The following is a 25,054-nucleotide window of genomic DNA, read 5'->3' on the forward strand; positions in this document are numbered from 1 at the left end:
CCTGGAGGAAAAGGAGCCTGGTTCCAGGCAGCTGCCACTTGCACAGGCTGCTCTCCCAGCTGACTTGCTTTGTTTTATTTTCTCTAAGCCTGAAGAAGGGCTTTCCCCAGAGAGAAAGGACACCTGGTGCCTAATTCCCCAAAGCAGAGGCAGCTGTGGTCCAGAAGCCCCAGGGCCTGTTTCCACTGTCCTCCCTGGGGAAATGCGGGTATAGGGCCCAGAGAGGCCCAGGACTTATCTCGACACTCTCCTTTCCCCGGCCAAGAAAATGCTTCCTCTTCTTGGAGGATGGAGATGCAAACACTCCCTTTCTGGAGCAGGCTGCAGCCAGAGGGGTGGCATCCTGTACCAAGACAAAAGCCCTTTTGGGACAGAGTGTCAATGCTGGTACTCCACACCTCCAAAGATGAGGGGAGGCCGATCTGAGGCAGAGGCACATGTGAGAACCAGCCCAGTGGGACAGAACAAACTACTTGCCTCTTTCTTCTCTGGACCCAATTTTGGAATTCTTCTAAGCATTCTGATCAGAGACAAAGACTAACATGCTCTAAAAGGGGGGTCACCAGGATTAGAAGTAATCCAGACCTGTTGTGGATTCACTGCAGAGTCTTTAAATGTGTTATACGGGGTTCACCACTTTAAAACAAAAATTCAGGGACTTGGGATAAATGAAAAGTATGGTTTTATTGTATCTTCTTGTCAAACACCTTTACTTGAGGCAACAACTGAAGTATAATTTAATTCAGCAGGAAATATCACACTTGGAGGGAAAACACACACTAAAAAAAAAAAAAACCCTTAAATTAAAGCCAAACATTCTTTCCAAGGCACAGCACTGGCATTTTCAGATTGACAGCAGAACGAGTTTGTTTCCGTGAAACAAAATCATGAGTCCAGAGTCTGTTTTTGAAACAGCTTTCCACTTCATCTCCCTTTCTGGGGCTCAGGGAACGATGCTCGTGGCCTTCCTCAGGGCCAGGTAGCCGGTGACGACGTCAGAGGGCAGCCTCCGAATGTAGGAAAACTCTTCAATGGTGCTGAACCGCAGTTTGCTCTGGGGGTCTGTGTAGTTGGCCTGGGTGAAAAGAGGCACAGGGAAGGGCAGAAAGTTTTTGCTGGTAGGGATATTTTAAGTTCAAGTTTAAAAATTTTTTCTATTTCACTGAAAGTGATATATATTTTCATTATGTCTTACTCTGCCACCAAGAACACTAAATCACTCACTGTGGCACAGGCTCATTAACCTTCCCAGACTCTAGAAACACTTCAGGGTATGGACGAGAGGAAGGGGAATGACCACATCAGACTCTGGGACTCTTCTTGTTGGTGCCTCAAGGGCTGCAACAGGTCCAAGACTGAATTCATGATGGTCATCCCTCCCTGCCTTCAGACTCCTGCCTCTTTCCAACAAATGTCCCAGGTCTGTGCTCCTCAAGGCAGGAGCCGACGCCCAGCATGCTGGGCATGTGCCCCTCCCTGCTGTGCTCCACTTACCTCCAGCATGCTCCTTTCCAGCTCTTCCAACACCCCCTGCGCCACTTCCATGCCTCCCTGAGCAACTCTGTAGTGCATCACCAGCCATTCACACCCACCCTTCCCCTAGAACTGCGGCCAGGATCTTCTTTGCAACGTGCAATTCTGATCATGTCATTCCTCGGCATAAAATCTCTCAAAATGGCTCCTCTGCTCTTGGGACAAAGGCCCAAGTCCTCAGTGCAGCTCCTCAGCTATGGGCCTTCCTTTGTCCTCAGCCTCCTCCTCAGCCACATGTCCCCACTCTCTGATTCCAACTGTCCCCGGCCTCTAAGTTCCTCCCTCTTACCATGCCCCATCTGTCCTTTCCTTGGCAGGGGACCCCAACTGCAGCCCATTTTGCTCAGTAATCACCAGTTCATTCTTCAGGACTCGGCCCCAAAGCTACACCTCTGGGGAAGCCTATTTGTACCCCCACAGGAGGTCAGAACCTCACCCTCCACTTTCACAGCAGCAAAAATATTCCAGTGGAATGCACATCTCTGTTGCTTTAAAGTTTATTATCTACATGACTCTTTGATGATGGTCTAGGCTATGAGGGTCCATGAGACAGGAACCACAGTTTGCTTATCATTGTAGACTGGCTCCTAGTGCAACGCAGAGTACACAGAGGGCCTCCAGTCAGGGTTTGTATAACAAAATGAATGACTAATGAATGAATAAACAAACAGACAATTGGGACCATCACAGAAAAGAGAACTTGTTTCCCAGACATATCAAAATTCTCTCTTGGTCTCTGTTCCCCATGTGCCAAGCGGAGAAAATAATTCACTAACTATATACCTCAAAGCACATGGGCTTCTACGGATTTTGAAACAAAAGACATGAGGGTGAGTCATTTTGAGCTCCTTTAAAAAAATTATAAAAGATGCCATTAAAGTCTAGACAGATAACATCCAATTATTCAAGTGTAGATGTCTACTTTAATGTGGATCATCTTTGTGTGGACCTAGACTCACAGTAATCCTGTGATTTAGGAAGGGAGGGAACACTCAATAAAAAAGCAACAAGCTGTCGGGAACTTATTTATAGGCTTCTCATGCCCTAAAAAGTCTTCCATTTTGCCACTGGGAACCCCCCCTAAGTATTTAACTGCTGTGTGTTAGGAAATGGGATTATTCCTAAAAGGCTAAGATTAACTAATGGCTCTATATAAAACTTCGATCCCTTGGCTTGATCTAGATGTTACCTTTCTGTACTACATTTCCTTTAATGACAGTAATATAAGGAAAGGCTTAATTAGAAAAACAGTGACAAGTCTCTTCTGAGGGATCCTGGCAGTGAGGGAAGTTAGGTTAACTAGCAGGAGAGGCTGCCCTGCAGTTCCGAGCAGAGTGTAGGCATGTGTGTCTGGCGTGGACCATCTGGCCTCCATAGACGAACCAGCCTCGGCTGAGCTCCATGTCTGTGGCTGCCTCACTCCTACCAGCAAACTGTGCTGAGCCGGCCCGCCCAAGTTCAGACCTCACTGCCAAGAGGGCTGCTGAATAAACAGTGCAGAATACAGAGATCCTGTGGCACCAACAAAAAGGTTACCAACAAAAACCTGAACAGACTGCACTGGACCCAGGGGCCAACATCTAGGATTCTGAATAGAAGGAAGGATGCCAAGTGACACCCAGGAGTTGAACAAGTAAAGAGCTTCACACCTACAGTCCACCCTCCTCTGGATGCCATCCTTTGAGCCTGAGTGAAATAAGCAAACGCCAACTTCCCACAGGGAAGCCAGCAAACAGCTTCAGGCCCCCCTTGCTGTAGGGTGACAGGCAGTATTCACGGCTTGCCCGTCTCACCCAGAATACACTTTTCATAGCTCTGTAACGAGTGCTGAACACAGGTATGACCCTGCATGTCTTGCTGCCATGCCTAGGCACAGGGGAAAGAGTCACATGGCTGGCTAGGAACAGGTGTGTGTCAATGTAAATGTGAACTAGGCTTTACTTTTTAATTATGTAACTTTAAATTATATAAGCAACAGACGAACACGTTCTCCTCTAAAAAGAATTAAAAGAAAACATTACAGATAAGACTAAAGTCCTCATTTATCACCATCTACCATCCAAAAGTCCTCTGTCTTCCCCAGGAGAAACCACTGCTAAGTGGGCACCTTTCCAGACTTTTTATGTCTACCCCTATACACATATGTAAACACACAAGAGAAATAACCCAATTTGTGTGTGTGTGTTGATTTTTATATATGTGGCACCATGCTGTTTATATTGCTTTGCATCTTTCAATCAACATTACATCCTGGAAATTTAGCCATGTTGTTACTATGCATTGAGCTCAAGAACAGTATGAAAATATCCACTGTGATAGACCTTGATGTTGCTTCCAGCATTTTGCGAATGCGGTCTCTCATAAGCATTTCTGCATGAAGTTCTTTGTGCACACTATTTCTTTTTTTTTTAATTTTATTATTATTAAAGTTTTAGGGTACATGTGCACAATGTGCAGGTTTGTTACATATGTATACATGTGCCATGTTGGTGTGCTGCACCCATTAACTCGTCATTTAGCATTAGGCATATCTCCTAATGCTATCCCTCCCCCCTCCCTGCACCCCACAACATTCCCCGGAGTGTGATGTTCCCCTTCCTGTGTCCATGTGTTCTCATTGTTCAATTCCCACCTGAGTGACAACATGCGGTGTTTGGTTTTTTGTCCTTGTGATAGTTTGCTCAGAATGATGGTTTCCAGTTTCATCCATGTCCCTACAAAGGACATGAACTCATCATTTTTTATGGCTGCATAGTATTCCATGGTGTATATGTGCCACATTTTCTTAATCCAGTCTATCGTTGTTGGACATTTGGGTTGGCTCCAAGTCTTTGCTATTGTGAATAGTGCTACAATAAACATACATGTGCATGTGTCTTTATAGCAGCATGATTTATAATCCTTTGGGTATATACCCAGTAATGGGATGGCTGGGTCAAATGGTATTTCTAGTTCTAGATTCTTAAGGAATCGCCACACTGTCTTCCACAGCAGTTGAACTAGTTTACACTCCCACCAACAGTGTAAAAGTGTTCCTATTTCTCCACATCCTCTCCAGCACCTGTTGTTTCCTGACTTTTGAATGATCGCCATTCTAACTGGTGTGAGATGGTATCTCACTGTGGTTTTGATTTGCATTTCTCTGATGGCCAGTGATGATGAGCATTTTTTCATGTGTTTTTTGGCTGCATAAATGTCTTCTTTTGAGAAGTGTCTGTTCATATCCTTTGCCCGCTTTTTGATGGGGTTGTTTTTTTCTTGTAAATTTGTTTGAGTTCATTGTAGATTCTGGATATTAGCCCTTTGTCAGATGAGTAGGTTGAGAAAATTTTCTCCCATTCTGTAGGTTGCCTGTTCACTGTGATGGTAGTTTCTTTTGCTGTGTGCACACTATTTCTCTAGGGAGCTGCCTATAAGGCATATTGCAAGGTCAGAGGTTTTTCTTTTTTTTAATCTCAACAGACTGCTCCAATTGTCCTCCAAAGAAGCAGTACCAGTGTATGTTCCCACCTCAAAACAACAATGTATGAAGATACCCATTTCTGTTTGTTGGTGCCAAAATGTATAATCAAATGTCTTAATTTCTTCCCTGTTTGATGAGTCTTTCTCCTAATTACTAGTGAAGCTGAATATCTACTTATTGGTCATCTATATTTCTTCTCTGGCAATTGCCTATTTATATCCTTTTTGCTGATTCTTCTGTGGGATTGTCCTTTAATGAACTAGGAGAGTTATCTGTCTATTCAGAACTTCTTATTTCCTACATACAGTGGGGCAAGAGGTTTTAGGTAATGTGTAATGTGACAAGTCCATTGCCAATGTCATAAAGGGGCCTGGAATAATGATTCTCCCTCCTCCTAATGTGTGAAAACCATTGTACTAGCAGATGAGCTGCCTGAAACAATAAGGATAAAGCTGACATTCTGAGGAACCACCCTCCAAGTCTGGCCATAAACTGTGGCCTCCAGAAACTCAAAATGACACAGGGAGAGATTTCCACTTTGGGTCATAACAGAATAACTGGTGCCAGATGAGCTCTCTTGCCATAAACGACTATTACAACAGGCCAAATACATGAAGTAGCCATTTTCAGGCAACAGACAAGAGGTAGCACAAGACTGCAATGCCTGAGAAAAGAGAAGCTCACAAGGTAAGTTCCAGGATCATCCAAACTCTCTCTGCCTGTGACAATTTCCTGACCATGGGGCAGAGGTGGAGCTCACGCAGAGCTCAGATTCAGGGGCTACTGAAACACCTGTTATTGGCAAAGCTGAGTAACAGAAGAGGGAGCTGCCCTGGAAGGGAGGCAAAAGTCAGTTTGGGATTCCACGTGAGTCCATAACCATGGGCTGGGCTATGCATGTTCAAGGCAAGACTATATACGTCTTACTGGAGAGTGGTTAAGAGGGAAAGAGAAAATCCAGAGGTTGAGCAGTGCTAGGAGTTGCTGAAGTGCCAGCCCAGCCAGAATAGAGAGATCTCTATAACACTCCTGGCACCTAGCTCAGGCAACAGAAAGGCCACAGCTTGGGAAAAAAAATCATGCCCTTGAGTACCATCTATTCTAGTCTCACCACAACAAAGCCTAACACCAAACTTCAGTAAGACTGGCAGAGGATAAAGCACTTAGAAGTTAAGTGCAACTAAGTTAAAGGAGCTTGGGAAACATCATGGGCTTTCTGCAGACCTGTCCTAACAAAGGTGATCAGTCAGTAACTGAGCTACCACAGGAAAAAAATACTCTTCAAGGAAAGATAACAGAATCTAGAGTTTTTACAATATATCATCCATAATGTCCAGTACACAATCAAAAACTTGTAGATGCAAAGAAACAGGAAAATGTGACGCACAGTTAAGAAAAAAGGCAGTCAACAGAAACTGGCCAAGATGAACCAAATGTTGGACACAGCAGATAAATACTTTAAAGCAGCTATTATGTGTTCAAGGACTTAAAATATACATATATATATATATATGTATATATATGTGTATATGTGTGTGTGTGTCTATATATATATATATATATATATATATATATATATATACTTAATAACTAAGTAGTCTTAAAAGACAAGGAAATCACCAGAACCAGACCCGAATATGATGTAGGTTTTGAAACTACCAGACAGGAAATTCAAAATAACTATAATTAATATCTTGAAGGAGTTAAAGGAGAGACAACATGCAAGATAGAAAGTTATTTCAGGTCAGGCACGGTGGCTCACATTGGTAATCCCAACACTTTGGGAGGCCAAGGCAGGAGGATGACTTGAGGCCGGGAGTTCAGGACCAGCCTGGGCAACACAGTAAGACCCCTTCTCTATAAAAAAAAATTTAAAAGCCAGGTGTGGTGGCACACACCTGTAGACCTAGCTTCCGGGGAGGCTGAAGCACGTGGATCGCTTGAGCCCAGGAGTTTGAGGCTGTAGTGAGCTGTGATCACATCACTGCACTCTAGCCTGGATTAGAGAGCAAGACTCTATCTCTAAATAAATAAATAATTTAAAAGAAAGTTATTTCATCAGAGACATGAAAACTATAATAATCAAATAGAAAAGCCAGAAATTAAAAACACAATTAGAGAGATAAACGATGCTTCCAATAGGCTCATTGGTATACTCTATACAGTGAGTAAAGAACTTGAAGACACATCAGTAGATACCATCCAAACTGAACCGCAACGAAATAAGAGTTTTTAAAAGCAAACAAACCAGAACAGAGCATCCAAGAGTTTTGGGACACTATCAAATAGTTTAACATGTGTGTAACTGGAATCCTAGAAGAAGGGAAAAAGACAAGGCAAAAGAAATATTTGAAGAAATAATAGCCAAGAATTTTCCAAAATTCTTGACAGATACCAAACCACAAATCCAAAACCTCAGAGAACATCAAGAATACATACCAGAAAAATAATACCCTGAGTCATATTCAATACCCAGTCATATTCAAACTGCTGAAAACAAAAGACGAAGAGAAGATCTTGAAGGCAGTCAAACAAGAAACATTACATAGAGATGAACAAAGGTAAGAATTATATCAAACTTCTCATCAGAAACCATGGAAGCAAAAAGACAACATTTAACCACTGACATCTTAAAAGTGATGAAAGAAAAAACTGTCAGCCCAGACTTGAAAATGTCATTCAAAAATACTCATTGAAAATATCATTCAAAAAGGAAGAACAAGGCTGGGTGCAGTGGCTCACGCCTGTAATCCCAGCACTTTGGGAGACCAAGACAGGATGATCACTTGAGCCCAGGAATTTGAGACCAGGCCCGGGCAACAGGGTGAAATCCCATCTCTACAAAAAACACAAAAAATTAGCCAGGCATGGTGGCACACACCTGTAGCCCCAGTTACTTGGGAGGCTGAGGTAGATGCATCACCTGAGCCTGGGAGGTCAAGACGGCTGCAGTGAGCCAAGATGGCATCACTGCACTCCAGCCTGGGCAACAGAGTAAGACCCTGTCTTAAAAAAAAAAAAATGAAGAAGAAATAAAGGCTCTTTGACAAAACAAAAAAAGAAAGGACTTCGTTAGTAGCAAATCTACTTTATAAGAAAAGCACAGTAAATTGTTCCAGTAGAAAGAATATGACATCAGATTGCAACTTGGAAATAGACAACAAAATGAAAAAAGGTGGAAACAGAATGAAATGAAGATAAAAGAAAGTTCTTTTTTTTCTTATTTTTATTTCTCTAAAAGGTAACTGTCTAAAGCACAAATTAACAGCCATACATTTTGTTTGTAGCATATGTAAAAGTAAACTATATGACAACAAAGAATGAGAGAGTGGAATTAGAAATTCACTACTAGAAGTCCCTCACATTATGCACAAAGTGGCAAAATATTTGAAAATAGATTCAGGTTATTTAAAATGTATATTGTAAACATGAAAGTAACCATTCATAATTTGTAAAAGAGGTGTAAATAATAAGGAAACAAACAGAATTTTAAAATGTTCAATTAACCCCAGTTTTATCATGAGAAAACATCAGAGGAATTCCAGTAGTGGAGGATTCTACTAAATACCTGACTAGTGCTCCTTAAAACTGTTAAGGTCATTAAAAACAAGGACAACCTGAGAAACTGGCAGAGCCAAGAGGAGTCTAACGAGACAGGATGACTAAATTTGATATAGTTTTAGGTAAAAACTAAGGAAATGTGAATAAATTATAGACTTTAGTTAATAATAATATATAACTATTGGTTCATTAATTGTAACAAATATACCATAGATGTTAATAACAGCAGAAACTGAGTTTGGGTTATATGGGCACTTTCTATACTATTGTCTCCGTTTTTCATAAATCTAGAACTGTTCTGAAAAATATAGTCTATTAAAAAACGCTCAATAAATCCAGAGAAGGCAGAAAAAGGGAAATAAGCAACACAAATGGAACAAATAACAACTAGTGAGATGGTAGATTTAAATACAACCATATCAACAATCACTTTAAAGATGAATAGCCTAAGGACAACAGTTCTTAGATTGATAGACTGGATAAAAAGCAAGATCCACTGGGTGCAGAGGCTCACGTCTTTAATCCCAGCACTTTGAGAGGCTGATGTTGGGAGATCACTTGAGCCAAGGAGTTCAAGGCTTCAGTGAGTTATGATCACACCACTCCATTCTAGCCTGGGTAAAAGAGCAAGACTCTACCTCCAAAAGAAAAAGAAAAAGAAAGACCCAACAACTCAACAATATGCTTTCAACAAGAATCCACTTTAAATATATAGATAGTTTAAAAGTGAAAAGATAGGCCAGGTATGGTGGCTCATACCTGTAATCCCAGCACTTTGGGAGGCCAAGGCAGGAGGATCACTTGAGGTCAGGAGTTCAAGACCAGCCTGGCCAACATGGCAAAACCTCATCTCTACTAAAAATACAAAAATTAGCCAGGCATGGTGGCGTGTGCCTGTAGTCCCAGCTACTCAGGAGGCTGAGGCAGGATAATCGCTTGAACCCAGGAGGTAGAGGCTGGAGTGAGCCAAGAGCGTGCCACTGCACTCCAGCCTGGGCAACACAGTGAGACTCTGTCTCAAAAAAAAGTGAAAAGATCAAGAAAGATATACCATCCACACATGAACGAAAGAAAGCTGGGGTAACGATATTAATTTCAGACAAAGTAGACTTCAGAACAATGAATATTATCAGGGACAAACAGGGATATTACATAATAATAACAAAGGAGGCAATTCTCCTCCGTACATAATTAATTTGGTCAATTTGTTAGATAAGTTGGAGTCATATTTTCATTAAAATGTAAAGTACTTAAATTATTTTTCCAAATTTATGAGATGAAAAAGGATTAAGACCCTGACATGCAAGAGCTAATTAAAAGAATCTCTAAGTTCATCCATTTGTTTAAGAAAACAAAACAAAACAAAACAAAACAAAACAAAAAAAGATGAATCTTAGGTTCCACCTTCTGCAAATAAGGAAATGGGGGTGTTCTGAGGTTCCTGAGCTTTAGCAACTTGCCCACTTCCCACTATTTCAGCTCTGCTGGCAGTTTCTGAATTGTGTTCCCCAGAAGCACTTGAGCAGTCACTGTGGTGGGGAGTGGGGAGGAAGATAGGCGGCCAGATCCACATGGGACCACAGCAGAAAGGTGGGCTCCAGGCTGTTATATATTGGATTCTGTAAAAGATTTCATTTGGAAAAGGGGTTCTGATGCTTAAAAATAAGTTTGAATGTCACAACCTTTGCCAAAGCACCTGTTTAGAGAAGTTTAAACATGGTTTTGTAAATACAATCATCATCTAAAATGCAGGTTTTTAAAACTTCAGCAGTAAAAAAAGAAATACATAGTTGTTTCTTTCATGTTATCTCATATAGTTAACTAGCAGAGGTAAAGAAGAGAAGCTGGAGTCTCCTGCTTTCTGGTTCAATCCTCCCTGCAGGCTGCCCCCACAGATGCCTGTTTGCAGCAATGAACACACTGCACAAACCTATCACCTATCACTGTAGACAGGCTCCAGGCAGGACCAGCCATGATCAATATTCAACACTTGTCTAATTAGACATTACTGTGAAATCTTTTCCATTTAATGTTATAAGAGATATAATCATACTCACAAGCAGACCTGAAACATCAGAATACTTCTTAGCTGGCTTAAAGGATGGAGGAGCATCAATACTGAAGTCTGGGAAAAAAAAAAAAAAAAGATAACTAAACTGAACTGAAAACATTCAAATCCCTTCTCTTTTTTTTTCTAAAATAGTATTTGATAATATTCCTGAAAATTTCCTTTGTGATTAAGTAGTCACAGAAGTCTCTGGAGATTAACTAGAGAAGTAGGGGAGGATTCTCAGAAACAAGACAGTATGTCACAGGCCAAGTGCAGGCTCCAGATCTAGCCCTGCCCTGTCACCAGGGACCCTCTATTCCCACAGAACCACCGGAAAGCTCATCTGCCCACCAGCTATTTTCACGATCTCACACTACATGGGCTGATGGTGATGAAATGCCAAATGAGCCAATAACTGGATCTGAGCACCCTGACACCCTCATGTCCACACCCAGACGAATGAATGACTAGCTCACTTGTCACCCATGTGAGTCACCCCCATGAAAGAAGTACAGTGGAGTAGGAGATGGTGAGAACTTTGAACTTGTACTTTCCAGTGAAGCTGAACAGAACATATAACAGTGTTTTACATAAATCTGGACACACTGCAGCATGAAGTATTTACTAAACACTGGCTCACAAAGTATAAAAGAGCTGGCCTTTAAGCTGGTTGTCAGGAACCCTCCTAAATCTGGTATTATACTTGGGCTACCTTGTTTTTGGAAACACATTTTAAGAGTAGACTTTTGAATAAGAAGTTTGTCTAGTAGAAACACCAATATTATCATATTGGGACCTATGACCCTAAAAACCACACATCCATGACAACACAAACAAATAGGCTCAATACAGATACAGTTATGAGAAAATACACACATAATCTGCCCAGACTGATGCCACTATAAAATTCTCAAGCTAAAAATTATTTCCTACAATGATGCAAACACAATACAATAATGTAGGTTGTTATAAGACAGTTCCTACTCTGAACATTACAAACACATGGAAGGCTCTAGACAGCTCACAGTTAGGATCGTTCAGTTGCCACGGCAATGCCCTTTCAGAAGCGAGGATTTGTTTCAGGTTCTTCCAGGTTCTGTTCTTCTTGCCAGCTACTGCGCCACCGTGGCCAGAGTGCTTGAATTGAAGGCATGGATTAGAAGAAACAAAAACCAATGGAGACTACCATTTCGACATCTGACATTTATGCCTAATCATAACTGTAATATACCTCTCATCTGTCAACAATCATTAAGACCCCTGAGACTTTTTTTAAAAGGTATTTCACTGTACACATTAACATGTTAATCTTAGTTTAAAAAAGAAGTTTTCAGATTGTCAAAACCCTTGAGTTAGTTTGTGCTGGAGTAGAAATAAAAGGCTACTTCTTTATATGCACGTAAAAAAAAAAGCCTTTATTGGGTCTAACTTTGTAGAATTCATTCATGAATTTCTTCATACTTTAAGATAAATTTACTACAAAGTCAGATTTAAATCCAGGACTGCATCTCTCAACTCCCTTCTCGGGGCAAGTCTCTGCCATGTAAACTGGGGATCCTGGAAAAGTTGAGAAAGCCCCAGTTGCAGTATGGGTACTCTTCTAGGTACCTCTTTTTTTTTTTTTTTATCCTACAAAGATGACACAATAAAATGGAAAAGAATACCAAAATCTGTTGCAAACACTGGTAATATTGTATTTCCAAAACTAATTCATTAAAAAAAAATTTAACAGTATAATCTGAACTGCTGCAGTTTATTACCAGTCTCAAGAATGAAAGGAAGAATACCCTGTGTTCTACTCCACAGCACAACAGCTTGGATTTACCTTATGAAACTAATGAGGAAGTACTTCTCATTTAGCTAAATATTTCAAGCTTTGTCTAAGATTGTAAGACCAATGAAAAGGTTAGGGGAACAATCATCATGGAAATGTCCCACCCTCCAAACAGTATCCTTTAATGAATCCACAAAGGACACCCAAATCCTTGGGATATGGCACATTAAAAGATCAACAGAAAGAACCCTTCTCTTGTCCCCATCTTGCCCATAGGGGAGAAGGAGGTAACTGAGACTGAGGGAGGAGAGAATGCCAGTGCCACCCTGGCTACAGGCCCAGCAAGATCAGAGGCTGAGGTGTGGCATTTGGATGTTTATTCAGCTAATACCTTCGATGCTTACCACAAAGTTGGGATCCTTAAATGGCAAAGGTTTGGCAGCTTTTTCCACAGGTCCTGTGCTAAACTCAGAGGGCACCATTTTATTCTCACTCATGGCTTCCATGCTGATACCCTTAAAACATAATAAAAATAGTTTGAAGAAGTCAGTTTCTTTCAGCTGAGTTCCCCACCTCTGCTCTCAACAGGGCATACGATGATGCCACAGGGCATGCAAGGGAAGACAGTATGCCCAGAGCTCCAGCAGGCAGCCTGCCCTAGGGGAGGGCACACCACACGGGGAGTAGCACCTGCTGTGCAGAAGCCACAGGAGAAACAGGCCAGGACCTCCAACTGCTATGTTTCCCGGGTACCCTAAGTGCCAAGCACAGGGATGGCTGTCCTACGCAAGTTAGCTCATTTAATTCTGACAACCACTCCACAGTAGGTGCTATTATCCCCAGCATACAGAAAAGAAAACTGAGGCCCAGGGGAACAGGTTCAAGGTCACATAGTGATTGAGTTTTGGATTCAAACCTAGGTTGGGCCAGTTCTAAAGCCCTCATAATCTCCATGACACCACACAGTTCTGACTTCCACTGATCTTATGAACTCTGTCTTAAAATATTAAGACAACAAAGGTCCAGCCCCTTTAAGGGTCTAGTTGGCCAGAGAACCCAGACTGGAGCTGGTATGCTTAAGTGGCACAACAGGACATGGGCATTCCAAGGAAGGAAAACGGAAAAAAAGCTGGAGGGCCACAGGTCAGCTGGCAGCAGCCAGAGAGTGCCCTGACAAGAACGCTAATATGGTTTAAAGCAAAAAACCTTTAAGCTAACAATCACAAAGAAAAAACAAGCCAAAGTAAGAAACCACTTCTGATCTGTAATACAATTTCCCATCTTGCCAGGCTTCAATTAACTTTTAAAAAATTGAGATGTGATTTACATACAGTGAAATACACAGATCTTAAATGTAGTTGTCATGAGTTTTGCCAAAAGTTTACACTAGTACAATTCCTATCCTTGTCAATACCTTCCAGTCCCAACGGCAACCGCTGTTCTAATTTCTACCACATTACTTCTGCCTGTTGGAGAACTTCGTATAAACAGCATTTAACAGCATGTACTCTAGTGTCTGGATTCTTTTGCTCAGCATAAAGTTTCTGAGATGTGGCCAGGCATGGTGGCTCACACCTGTAATCCTAGCACTTTGGGAGGCTGAGGTGGTTGGATCACTTGAGGTCAGGAGTTCAAGACCAGCCTGGCCAACATGGTGAAACTCCACCTCTACTAAAAATACAAAAATTAGCCACGCATGGTGATGTGTGCCTGTAGACCCAGCTACTCGGGAGGCTGAGGCAGGAAAATCACTTGAACCTGGGAGGCGGAGGCTGCAGTGAGCCGAGATCATGCCACTGCACTCCAGCCTGGGCAACAGCGAGACTCTACTCCGTCTCAAAAACAAAGAAAAGTTTCTGAGATGTATCCATGTTGTTGCGTGGATCAGTCTGTTTCAGTGTATTTGCACACTACTCAACACAATAGTATTCCACGGTAAGGAGGCACCCCAATTTGTTTATTCATTTTCGTGTTCGTGGACGTTCGGTTCATTATCAGTCTTCAGCTATTACAAATAAAGCCTCTGTGATGTTTTCATTTCTCTTGGGCAAATACCTAGGAGTGGAATGGTTGGGTTATAGGGTAAGTGTATGTTTAACTTTACAAGTCACTGCCAAATCATGTTCCAAAGGTTGCATGCACCCTTCAAAAAAAGAGTTAAGGCTAAAAGTCATCATGTTGTCATGTGGAATGTGGAAGACACTACATGATTAACTAAATCACAGCTTATCTACTCTCAGCTGGAATTTTAGCAACTTATTCTGGTTCCCTCATGCTGATAAGGAGCTCAACTTACTTAGTAAGTGAAAATCTTACTTATCTTAGTAAGAGAGTATGGTGGAATATGAATATATCTACATTCATTCATGTTGGGGGAAGAGGAGTGGAGAAGACAAGAACCACTCACATTGCTGCAATAGTTCTTTGGGTGCTCTCTCCTCAAACACCTTCTCTGACCCCTCTCCAGGTCTCTCCACCTGAGCCGGGGTTCCAGCCAAGGCCCTGTGCTCCCTCTCCTCTGTGGCCGCCACCTTCTGTCTGGATTCCCCTTCACCTCATCCTCTCCACTTCTAAGGTCTTTCTTAGCTTTTCTTCCCTCCAAGCTCAGTGCAAATGTCAACTTTAAGAACTGAGAGGCTGCCCATTCCTCATCCTTTTCCTACCATCTGTACCCACAGTGATCTATCTCTTCCTTCCTCCCACCCTCCCTTCCGCACCCCACTCTCCCTTCCTCCCACAGTCCTTAGCGTTTATCTGGTAACTTCCTGAGCTATATAATTCAGAGGTGGGACTGTGCAGTACACATCTTGCCTACTCCAGCCGATTCTCTACAGCTCAGCCAGTGACATACTTTTCAATGCAAGCATGATGATGCTCCGCTACTTAAATCTGGCCAGTGGTTTCTACTTCCCTTGGGATTAGGAACAAATTCAGGCCTCCTCTCCAGCCTCGCCTCTTGCTCCCCATCCTTCCTACATTTTGTCTTTTCTGGTGCGATATCCATTTAGCCATTTTCTATACAGCAAAAAGAGTCTCCAATTTTTCCATTTTCATTTATGCTGTACTAAGATTATTTTCATTGGGATTCGTCCATGTCAGTTTTAATTTTACAACAAAGGTTAGATTTAGTTTTTTTTTACATAACTTTTATTGCTTGTATGATTTTTTTTCCTTTATAGTCATCATATTTCTACCAGGTACCTGTACTCTGGGAGACCCAGTCTGATAAGGAAGATTTGATTCTCCCATCACATTTCATCAGTAACGAACATTACCTTGTGCAGTTTTAGCCAGCTGTCAATGTTATTTTGCACTGACTATTTGTAAGAGTAACATCTAGTATATATTGTATATATGATTGATAGTTTAGACAACACAACAGCAGCTTTATGATACACGCAGGGAACAACAGATCAGAAGAAAGGGGGACAAGGAGAGAGGGGTAGATTCAGAGAGTGAGGATACACAGAGGGCTCAAAACATGCTGCTTTACTTCATAGTTCAGCCTCTGTCCCTGCTTCTAACCCAGTGCCTAGCACAGAGTAGGTACCAAATAATGAGTGATTCATTGATTAACTGATCAATGTTAAGGAACAAGACAGGGTGGTATGACTGAATGCCAGCATCAGCACTGGAGATGTATATGCTCAGAAGCTCCTTACAAGGAAGCATCTCTGGCTGGGATGCAGTGGCCAAACACACAGGAAGGATAACTTGGAAAGAAACAACTGAGTGTGGTTACCTGCAGGGGCAGAGGGGAACATAGTGGAATGGAGAGGGAGATGGGAAGGAAATAGAAGAGAGTAAATCTTCTCTGAGTATAGCTTTTTGTAGAGTTTTGACTTTTTGAACCATGTTAAGGTTTCATATACTTGAAAAAATAAATAATAAAATCAACAAGGATGCGGCAGGGGATAAAAAATAGAATTTTAAAAACCCTGTAAACACAAATTCACTTGTGTTTCAAATAACATAACCACACTGAAGTGGAGGCAAGGGAGAAATAACCTGAGTAACTATGAATATGGTATTTTGACTATGTAATCCAAGGTTAAAGGCCAAAAAGAACCATACATAGTTGGTAAGTTTGTTTCTCACAGGGGCACATGTTAATAATTCTGAAACTACTTTATGTGTATTCTAAGATACATAGCAAATGTAGAAAAGCAAATAAGAAAAGGGGGAAGGCCAGAATGAGTGCTGTGGAATTGGATTGAAACTAGAGGTTATCAATATGAGCTCACAGTTTTCAGTATACAGGCAGATAATTACAGAAATACATAGAGAGGTGTGGGTAGTGCAGGTATACACACACATATATTTCCTAGCTCTGTGCACTGAGAAGACTGGAAACAATGAACAATAGGCAAAGCAACATTCAGATCATCCTTTCTAAATACAATCAGCCCTCCATATAGAGGAGTTCTGCATCCATGGATTCAAGCAACCACAGACAGAAGACATTTGGTGGGGGAAAAATGCATCTTGACTAAACATGTACAAACTTTTTTCCTTGTCATTATTCCCTAAACTGTACAATATAACAACTATTTACATGGCATTTACATTGCATTACCTATTATAAGTAATCTAGACGTGGTTGAAGTATACAGGAGGATGTGCACAAATTATATGCAACACTATGCTACTTTATTTATATCAGGGACTTGAGGTTCCATGGATTTTGGTACCCATAGGAGGTCCTGGAACCAATCCAGCACATATACTGAGAGACAAGTGTATTATTCTCTAAGAACCAGTGATCCATGAAGAAATGGCTGACTCTAGGGCTGGAGCAGGAAAGTATAAGACTAGAACATCTTGTGGTGTCAGAAAGAAAGCACTTGTGTCAGTTTATTCAGAGTGCTGTAACAGAATACCATAGATTGGGTGGCTTATATGATAGAAATTTATTTTCTCCAGTTCTGGAGGCTAGAAGTCCAAGAACAACGTGTTGACAAGTTTGGTTTCTCCTGAGGCTGTGTGCACCCCTGGAGTCTCTCCCTCTTCTTATAACGGCACCAGTCATCCAGGATTAGGGCCCACCCAGACGACCTCATTTAATCTTAATTACCTCCCTGAAGTCCCTATCTCCAGAATGTAACTGAGGTATACTAGGGGTCAGGACAAAATAATAAATACTGGGGGCATGGGGGTACCAAAACTTAGTCCATAACAGCACCCAAAAAATGATAGGGGCAAACTAAAGGACACGGGAGCCAGTTTGAAGAGGCTCCTACTGGACCAATTTCAAAAACTTAAGCAACAAACCAGTATATACATAAATCCAGAATATATGAAGAACTCTACAACTCAACAACAAAAAGACAATTCAATTTTTAAAAGGGCAAAGAATTTCTTCAAAGAAGATATACAAACAGCCAGTAAGCACGTGAAAAGATGCTCAACATCACTAGTCATTAGGGAAATGTAAATCAAAATCACAATGAAATTCCAGTGCACACTCACTAGGATGGTTACAATCAAAGACAATAACACATATTGGCAAAGATGTGAAGAAACTGGAACCCTCATACATTGCTGGTAAGAACGTAAAATGGTGCAAAAACACCATTAAAAAAAAAACACAATTGGGAAGTTTCTCAAAATGTTAACCACAGAATTATCATATGACCCAATAATTTAACTTCTAGGTATACACTCAAAGAGAATGAAAAACATATGTCCATGCAAAAACTTGTACACAAATATTCATAGCAGCATTATTCATAATTGCCAAAAGGCATAAACAACCTAAATGTCCATCAGCTGATGAAGAGATAAAATGTGGCAGGGCCAAGCACAGGAACTCATGCCTGTAATCCCAACACTTTGGGAGGCTGAGGCAGGAGGACTGCTTGAGGCCAAGAGTTCAAAAGTGGCCTAGGCAACATGGCAAGACCCTTTCTCTACAAAAAATAAAATAAAAAAGTAACCAGTTGTGGTGGCACTTGCCTGTAGTCCCAGCTACTCCAGAGGCTGAGGCAAGTTCAGGAGTTCAAGGTTACAGTATGCTATGATTGTGCCACTGCCTTCCAGCATGGGCAGCAGAGTGAGCCCCTGTCTCTAAAAGAAATAAAAAATAAAACACAAAATGTAGTATGTCCATAAAATGTAATATTATTCAATCACAAAAAGAAATGGCATTCTGATTCATGCTCTGTCACGGATAAATCTTGAAAAAAATTACACTAACAAAAAGAAGCCAGACACAAAAGGCCACATATTGTATAATTCCATTTATATGAGATACGTAGTCACATTCAGAGACAGAAAGTAGATCAGTGGTTGCCAGGGGCTGGCAGAACAGGGGAATGGAAAGTGACTGCTTATGGGTAATGAGTTTCTCTTTGGGGTAACAGGAATATCCTAAAATTAGATAGGATATTGTGAGGGTTGCACAACTCAGTGAATATACTATAAACCACTAAATTATACACTTTAAAAGGGTGAATTTTATAGTATGTGAATTATATCTCAGTAAAGCTACTACAGATAAACTTATAAAAGAAGGAATGAATAAAGCTAGTAGTGGATTATAACCCATATAATAAAATAAAAATCCATGACATAAATACTGATTTTAAAAAATGAATAAATGGCCTGTTGTAGTTCTGGTTACTCGGGAGACTGAGAAGGGAGGATCACTTGAACCCAGGAGGCTGCACTGCGCTATGATTGTGTCTGGCAATAGCCACTGCATTCCAGCCCAGGCAACATAGCAATACCCAATTTCTTAAAAAAAAAAAAAAAAAAAAAAAAATTTTAATAGGAAAAAAAGAATGAATGGAAGAGAAGAGAAAGCTGTTGCTCACAATAGGATTCTAATTAATAAATCTAAAAGGAATGAAGATTCAAATTAGGAAATCACTACTTGTCAACCACCACAATAATAACTATTTCAAGCAAAAGCTATCAATGGATATTAAAAGTCACTGGCAAAGTATGAAATAAAATAGGCTATTTATAGTCTCAAAGTATCTTCCCACAAGATACTTCAATACAAACATGAAAAGAATAACTTTACATTGGAGAAACCTGGCAGATACCACCTTACTAAGTGCTCAAATCTAACATCATTAGTAATTTGACATCAAGTGCCACAACAGGATGCACTGAGAAGATAGCATTACTTCTCTATTTTTGCCAAAAATATATAACTCAAATCTAACCATGAGGAAATATCAGACAGGCCCAAATTGAGGAATATTCTAGAAAATAAGTGGCCAGTACTCTTCAAGTGTCAAGGTCATTGTGTTAGTCCATTTTCATGCTGCTGATACAGACATACCTAAGACTGGGTAAATTATAAAGAAAAAGAGGTTTAATGGACTCACATTTCCACGCGGCTGGGGAGGCCTCACAATCATGGCGGAAGGCAAGAGGCACGTCTTACGTGGCAGCAGGCAAGAGAGAGAATGAAAGCCAAGTGAAAGGGGTTTCCCCTTATAAAACCATCAGATTTCCTGAGAGTTATTCACTACCATGAGAACAGCATGGGGGAAACTGCCCCCATGATTCAATTATATCCCACCGGGTTCCTCCCACAACATGTGGGAATTTTGGGAGCTACAATTCAAGATGAGATTTGGGTGAGGGCACAGCCAAACTATCATTCCGCCCCCGGCCCCTCCCAAATCTCATGTCCTCACATGTTAAAATCAATCATGCCTTCCCAGCAGTCCCTCAAAGTCTTAACTCATTTCAGCATTAACTCAAAAGTCCACAGTCCAAAGTCTCATCCGAGACAAGGCAAGTCCCTTCCACCAATGAGCCTGTAAAATCAAAAGCAAGTTAGTTACTTCCTAGATACAATGAGGGTACAGGCATTGGATAAATACACCCATTCCAAATAGGAGAAATAGGCCAAAACAAAGGGGCTACAGGACCCACACCAAGTCTGAAATCCAGCAGGGCAGTCAAATCCTAAAGCTCCAAAATGATCTCCTTTGACTCCATGTCTCACATCCAAGTCACACTGATGCAAGAAATGGGTTCCCATGGTCTTGGGCAGCTCTGCCCCTGTGGCTTTGCAGGGTATAGCCTCCCTCCTGGCTACTTTCACAGGCTGGCGTTGAGTGTCTGTGTCTTTTCCAGTCACACAGTGCAAGCTGTTGGTGGATCTACCATTCCGGGCTCTGAAGGACGGTGGCTCTCTTCTCACAGCTCCGCTAGGCAGTTTCCCAGTGGGGACTCTGTTTGGGGGATTCAACTCCACATTTCCCTTCCTCAATGTCCTAGTAGAGGTTCTCTGTAAGGGCCCTGCCCCTGCAGCAAACTTTGGCCTGGACATCCAGGCATTTCCATACATCCTCTGAAATGTAGGTGGAGGTTCCCAAACCTCAATTCTTGACTTCTGTGCACCCACAGGCTCAACACTATGTGGAAACTGGCCAGGCTTGGAGCTTGCACTCTCTGCAGCCGTGGCCCAAGCTCTACCTTGGCCCCTTTTACCATGGCTGGAGTGGCTGGAACACAGGGCACCAAGTTCCCAGGCTGCGCACAGCAGAGGGGTCCCTGGGTCAGTCACCTGAAACCTTTTTTTCCCACTAGGCACTGGGCCTGTGATGGGAGGGGCTGCCACAAAGGTCTCTGACATGCCCTAGAGACATTTTCCCCATTGTCTTGGTGATTAACATTTGGCTCCTCACTGCTTATGCAAATTTCTGCAGCCAGCTTGAATTTCTCCTCAGAAAATGGGTTTTTATTCTCTATCACATTGTCAGGCTGCAAATTTTCTGGACTTTTATGCTCTGTTTCCCTTTTAAAACGGAATGCTTTTAACAGCACCCAAGTCACCTCTTGAATGCTTTGCTGCTTAGAAATTTCTTCTGCCAGATACCCGAAATCATCTCCCTCAAGTTCAAAGTTCCACATACCTCTAGGGCAGGGGCAAAATGCTGTCAGTCTCTTTGCTAAAACATAGCAACAACCACCTTTACTCCAGTTCCCAACAAATTCCTCATCTCTATCTGAGATCACCCCAACCTGGATTTCATTGTCCATATCATTATCAGCATTTTGGTCAAAGCCATTCAACAAGTCTCTAGGAGGTTCCAAACTTTCTCACATTTTCCTGTCTTCTTCTGAGCCCTCCAAACCGTTCCAACCTCTGCCTGTTACCCAGTTCCAAAGTTGCTTCCACATTTTCGGGTATCTTTACATACAGCAGCAACCCACTCTACCGGTACCAATTTATTGTATTAGTCCATTTTCATGCTGCTGATAAAGACATACCTAAGACTGGGTAAATTATAAAGAAAAAGAGATTTAATGGACTCACAGTTCCACGTGGCTGGGGAGGCCTCACAATCATGGTGGAAGGCGAAAGGCACGTCTTACATGGCAGCAGGCAAGAGAGAGAATGAGAACCAAGTGAAAGGGGTTTCCCATTACAAAACCATCAGATGTTGTGAGGATTATTCACTACCATGAGAACAGTATGGGAGAAACTGCCCCCATGATTTAGTTATATCACACTGGGTTCCTCCCACAACACATGGGAATTATGGGAGCTACAATTCAAGATGAGATTTGGGCAGGGGCACAGCCAAACCATATCAGTCATAAAAGATAAAAAGACTAAGGAAGTGTTCTGATTACAGGAGACTAAAAAGATATGACAACTAAATACAACGTGTGATCCTGGATTGGATTCTGAACCAGATAAGGGACAAGAATAAAGTCTGTGTATTAAATATCAGTGTTGTATCAGAGTTAACTTCCTGAATTTGATAAAATTTGGAATGATCTCTCCTCACTACCTTCCCACACTCCTCTCCAGGGCCTCTGCATGTGGGCATCTGGGCCCTCCTCTGTTAACACCCCTCTTCTGTCTGGACTGCCCCTCACTTCATCTTTCCCCCATGCACGGTCTTTCCTAACTGTCCTTATGTAAGAGAATGACTTTGGTTTTAAGAAATTCACACTGAAATATTTAGAGGATTAAAAAAAAAAAATACAGTGACCAAGTGAAGCCTCCCCAAGAGGCACACCCAGCTGCGAATGAGCCAGAGGTCATGACTCCTGGTTCCTGAGAAGGAAGGTGGAGCTGGCATGCAGGGCAGGAAGGGTGACAAGTGATCGCTCTTTCAGGAGGTGGTGGTACAAAGGCAAAGGAGAAAGCCCAGGCCCACTGGAAGGAACATGGGGTGAGCCGGTCCAAGGAGACCCGCCAGCATTAGCAGAAGGAAAGCAACCATTCTCCCAATCATCTAACCATTCATAGAGTGTGCCACAGGACTACTCAATGCCCTGGACTGTCAGGAGACTGGGCCTACGAGTGGCCTAAATTAAATTAGCAGGAGAGATAACCCTGAGAGCTATCCAGTAAGCACCACGTCAAAAGAAAAACAAAACACCCCCACTAGGGACAACTTCAGGTCTAATTCAGGGTAAACAGGCTATGAAAGAGATTTCCTGGGGCCAGATATGCTTTAAGTTTCAACTTTATCGTTTGAGTTTCTCATAAAGAATATGACTACTGATATAATACTGTTGCCATCAGGGAGGAAAAAACCAATCTGAACTGTTAAAGAGCAAAAAGGACACACTAAAGGGAAAGGGAAAATGCAGTCCCCAAAGCTTCCAACAGCGATTACAGAACCATCCACATACCTGCCAGCTCCCAGGGTCCTATCCTCAGGCAGTGGAGTTCGCTTTTTCTTCCACTCCAGAGATGTTCAAAAACTGCATTTCTTTTTTTATTATTTTGTTGTTGTTGTTGAGATAGGGTCTCGCTCTGTCACCCACGCTGCAGTGCAGTGGCACAATCACAGATCACTGCAGCCTCAACCTCCTGGGCTCAAGCCATCTTCTCACCTCAGCCCCCACTCATGAGTAGCTAGGACTACGGGTGCACACTACTATGCCCAGCTAACTTTTGTATTTTTGTAGAGACAAGGTTTCACCATGTTGCCCACAGTGGTCTCGAACTCCTGGACTCAAGTGGTCTGCCCACCTGGGCCTCCCAAAGTGCTGGGATTCCAGGTGTGAGCCACTGCGCCTGGCCAAATACTGTTATTTCTCCTTTTCAGTTTATTCCACTTCCCCAATCCCAGTGAGGAAGCTCAAAGGTGCTGTGTGCCCAATGAAAGGAAAGCAATACAGGGGGATTCTTCTGACATAGGCGTTTAGTTCCAAGGCCCCAGGGAGACAGGGGAGAAAAATGCCAGACAGGGGCCCTCGTTAGATTCAGGCAGACAAGCACGTCTGCTGAGAGTAAGGAGAGGGTGGTAATGAAGAGAGGACCAGAGGTCTAAGTCAGCCATTCCAGGCAGCAAGCTAGAGAAGAGTCAAGAAGAGGATGAAAATGACACACGGAAGCACTGGTTTTTGAAAGGGACCCCTCCTGCCGGCTTGCTCACTCCATCCTCTGCCAGACCCCCGCTGGGAAGTCAGGCTGAAGAGAGGGCAGAGAAAGGAAGCCACCCTGGAGTGAACTGAGCCACATCATACCAGTGCTGCCTCCTGCTTCTGAGATTGTGGCAGGCTCCCTTCCTTCTCTAACCAGAGACACCCCTGCCCCAGGCCAGAGCTGGTTTTATGCTTCACTTTCCTCTCCCCCGACCCCCACATTACTACACCCTTAGCCTAGCTGAGACTCCTGTGTCTACTAACAACAGGATGAGAGGGAGACAGACCTTTAGTCAAAGGGAAGATCAAGTCTGTGAGGCTTGGATGCAATAAGATAAAATTAAAATGATGCATCATTTCCATATTACTAAAGCACTATTATCACTAAGGACTTTACAAGATGAACTGTCCCGCCCCAAGATATGAACACCCTAAGAGGAGAGGAAGGAACGCCTAGCACTAAGGGGCGCCCCCTCTTTGCAGCACTAACAGAGCTGATGTAAGTCTCAGGGAAGAGAAATCCAGCCTGCTACTCAGGAAACACACGCCTATGCTAATAGACTGGAGTTCACAAGGCCTGGGTCTCGCCCTGCTCTGCTCTGCCCAACTGAAGAACCCAAATCAATGGCTTCATCTCTCCAGACAGTAGTGTGCTTGACTCTGAATCAGACTAAAGGATAATTTGGACATTCTGTCTGTGGTTACAAAGAAAGGAGAAAAATATCCTTTGTCTTATTACTGAAAAGTCAAATGTCAAGTTATATCTATGTCATAGAATTATAGATGCAAATAGCTGACCCTGGTCTAAAACTGCAAGGTTACTATAGGGTTACTTAAAACAGCAAAAATTCAAAATGCAACCTCAATATCCAATAATAAAGTCAATTAAATATGAGTAGTTAATTCCTTGGAATATAATGCAGTCAATAGTCATAAAAGACTATTTGACTTTTAAAAGTCTAATTGAGAAGACTATCAACACATAGAAATGTTCACAAAATAATGCTAAGTGAAAAACGGGGCACGTAATACTATATACCAAATATAATGATGAAAAACTGTATCTACATGTAGAAAACACAAATTATAATAGTTGTTGGGGAAGGAGATTGGGTGACTTTTTATGTCAATTTTAAAAATGAAAAAAAAGGTAATTTTAAAAATAGAAAAGAATAACTTTTAAGACTTAAAATTATCAGGATTTGTTGAATTTTTACTTTTGTGTTTTACAAAAGTTGAATAGTAGGATGACTATTTTTTCAATGAATAAACCAAATCAGTCCAGCATTATCTGGCTGCCCCTCCAATTACAGAAGAT

The 25,054-nt window shown here is 41.9% G+C and overlaps 1 protein-coding gene across 6 annotated transcripts in view, besides 5 other annotated features; it reads right to left on the reverse strand.

The window, feature by feature from the left end:
- Window positions 1-665: 665 nt before the first annotated feature.
- The window catches only part of INO80C (INO80 complex subunit C), a 29,628-nt gene continuing 5,239 nt past the window's right edge, over window positions 666-25,054 (reverse strand). For 4 of the 6 annotated variants that reach the window (NM_194281.4, XM_005258196.6, NM_001308064.2 and 1 more), the window contains exons 2-5: window positions 12,786-12,896; window positions 11,633-11,744; window positions 10,615-10,682; window positions 666-1,075 (exon numbers count right to left, since the gene is read on the reverse strand). In NM_194281.4, coding sequence (NP_919257.2) covers window positions 944-1,075; window positions 10,615-10,682; window positions 11,633-11,744; window positions 12,786-12,896 — 423 coding nt within the window. In that variant the 3' untranslated portion in view covers window positions 666-943. Of the gene's footprint in view, window positions 1,076-10,614; window positions 10,683-11,632; window positions 11,745-12,785; window positions 12,897-18,336; window positions 18,356-19,718; window positions 19,773-21,664; window positions 21,719-25,054 lie in introns of those variants that run through there. The other 2 variants (NM_001098817.2, XM_017025549.2) reach the window with 2 other exon arrangements.
- Window positions 10,572-11,771: an enhancer, noted in NCBI's record as "CDK7 strongly-dependent group 2 enhancer chr18:33058203-33059402 (GRCh37/hg19 assembly coordinates)". NCBI's record gives its function as "activates an origin of replication core promoter dependent on BRD2, BRD4, P300/CBP, MED14 and CDK7 cofactors, with strong dependence on CDK7, by STARR-seq in HCT116 cells {active_cell/tissue: HCT116}" and the evidence as "EXISTENCE:reporter gene assay evidence [ECO:0000049][PMID:35650434]".
- Window positions 20,798-21,092: an enhancer, noted in NCBI's record as "tiled region #729; HepG2 Activating non-DNase unmatched - State 7:EnhWF, and K562 Activating non-DNase unmatched - State 23:Low". NCBI's record gives its function as "activates a minimal TATA promoter and a strong SV40 promoter by Sharpr-MPRA in HepG2 and K562 cells {active_cell/tissue: HepG2 | K562}" and the evidence as "EXISTENCE:reporter gene assay evidence [ECO:0000049][PMID:27701403]".
- Window positions 22,244-22,964: an enhancer, noted in NCBI's record as "H3K27ac hESC enhancer chr18:33069875-33070595 (GRCh37/hg19 assembly coordinates)". NCBI's record gives its function as "activates a minimal SCP1, AML or CMV promoter by ChIP-STARR-seq in primed H9 embryonic stem cells {active_cell/tissue: H9 hESC(primed)}" and the evidence as "EXISTENCE:reporter gene assay evidence [ECO:0000049][PMID:30033119]".
- Window positions 23,030-23,691: an enhancer, noted in NCBI's record as "H3K27ac-H3K4me1 hESC enhancer chr18:33070661-33071322 (GRCh37/hg19 assembly coordinates)". NCBI's record gives its function as "activates a minimal SCP1, AML or CMV promoter by ChIP-STARR-seq in primed H9 embryonic stem cells {active_cell/tissue: H9 hESC(primed)}" and the evidence as "EXISTENCE:reporter gene assay evidence [ECO:0000049][PMID:30033119]".
- Window positions 23,692-24,353: an enhancer, noted in NCBI's record as "H3K27ac-H3K4me1 hESC enhancer chr18:33071323-33071984 (GRCh37/hg19 assembly coordinates)". NCBI's record gives its function as "activates a minimal SCP1, AML or CMV promoter by ChIP-STARR-seq in naive and primed H9 embryonic stem cells {active_cell/tissue: H9 hESC(naive and primed)}" and the evidence as "EXISTENCE:reporter gene assay evidence [ECO:0000049][PMID:30033119]".

The sequence above is a fragment of the Homo sapiens genome, chromosome 18 (genome assembly GCF_000001405.40).
Source record: "Homo sapiens chromosome 18, GRCh38.p14 Primary Assembly".
Taxonomy (NCBI): Eukaryota; Metazoa; Chordata; class Mammalia; order Primates; family Hominidae; genus Homo; species Homo sapiens.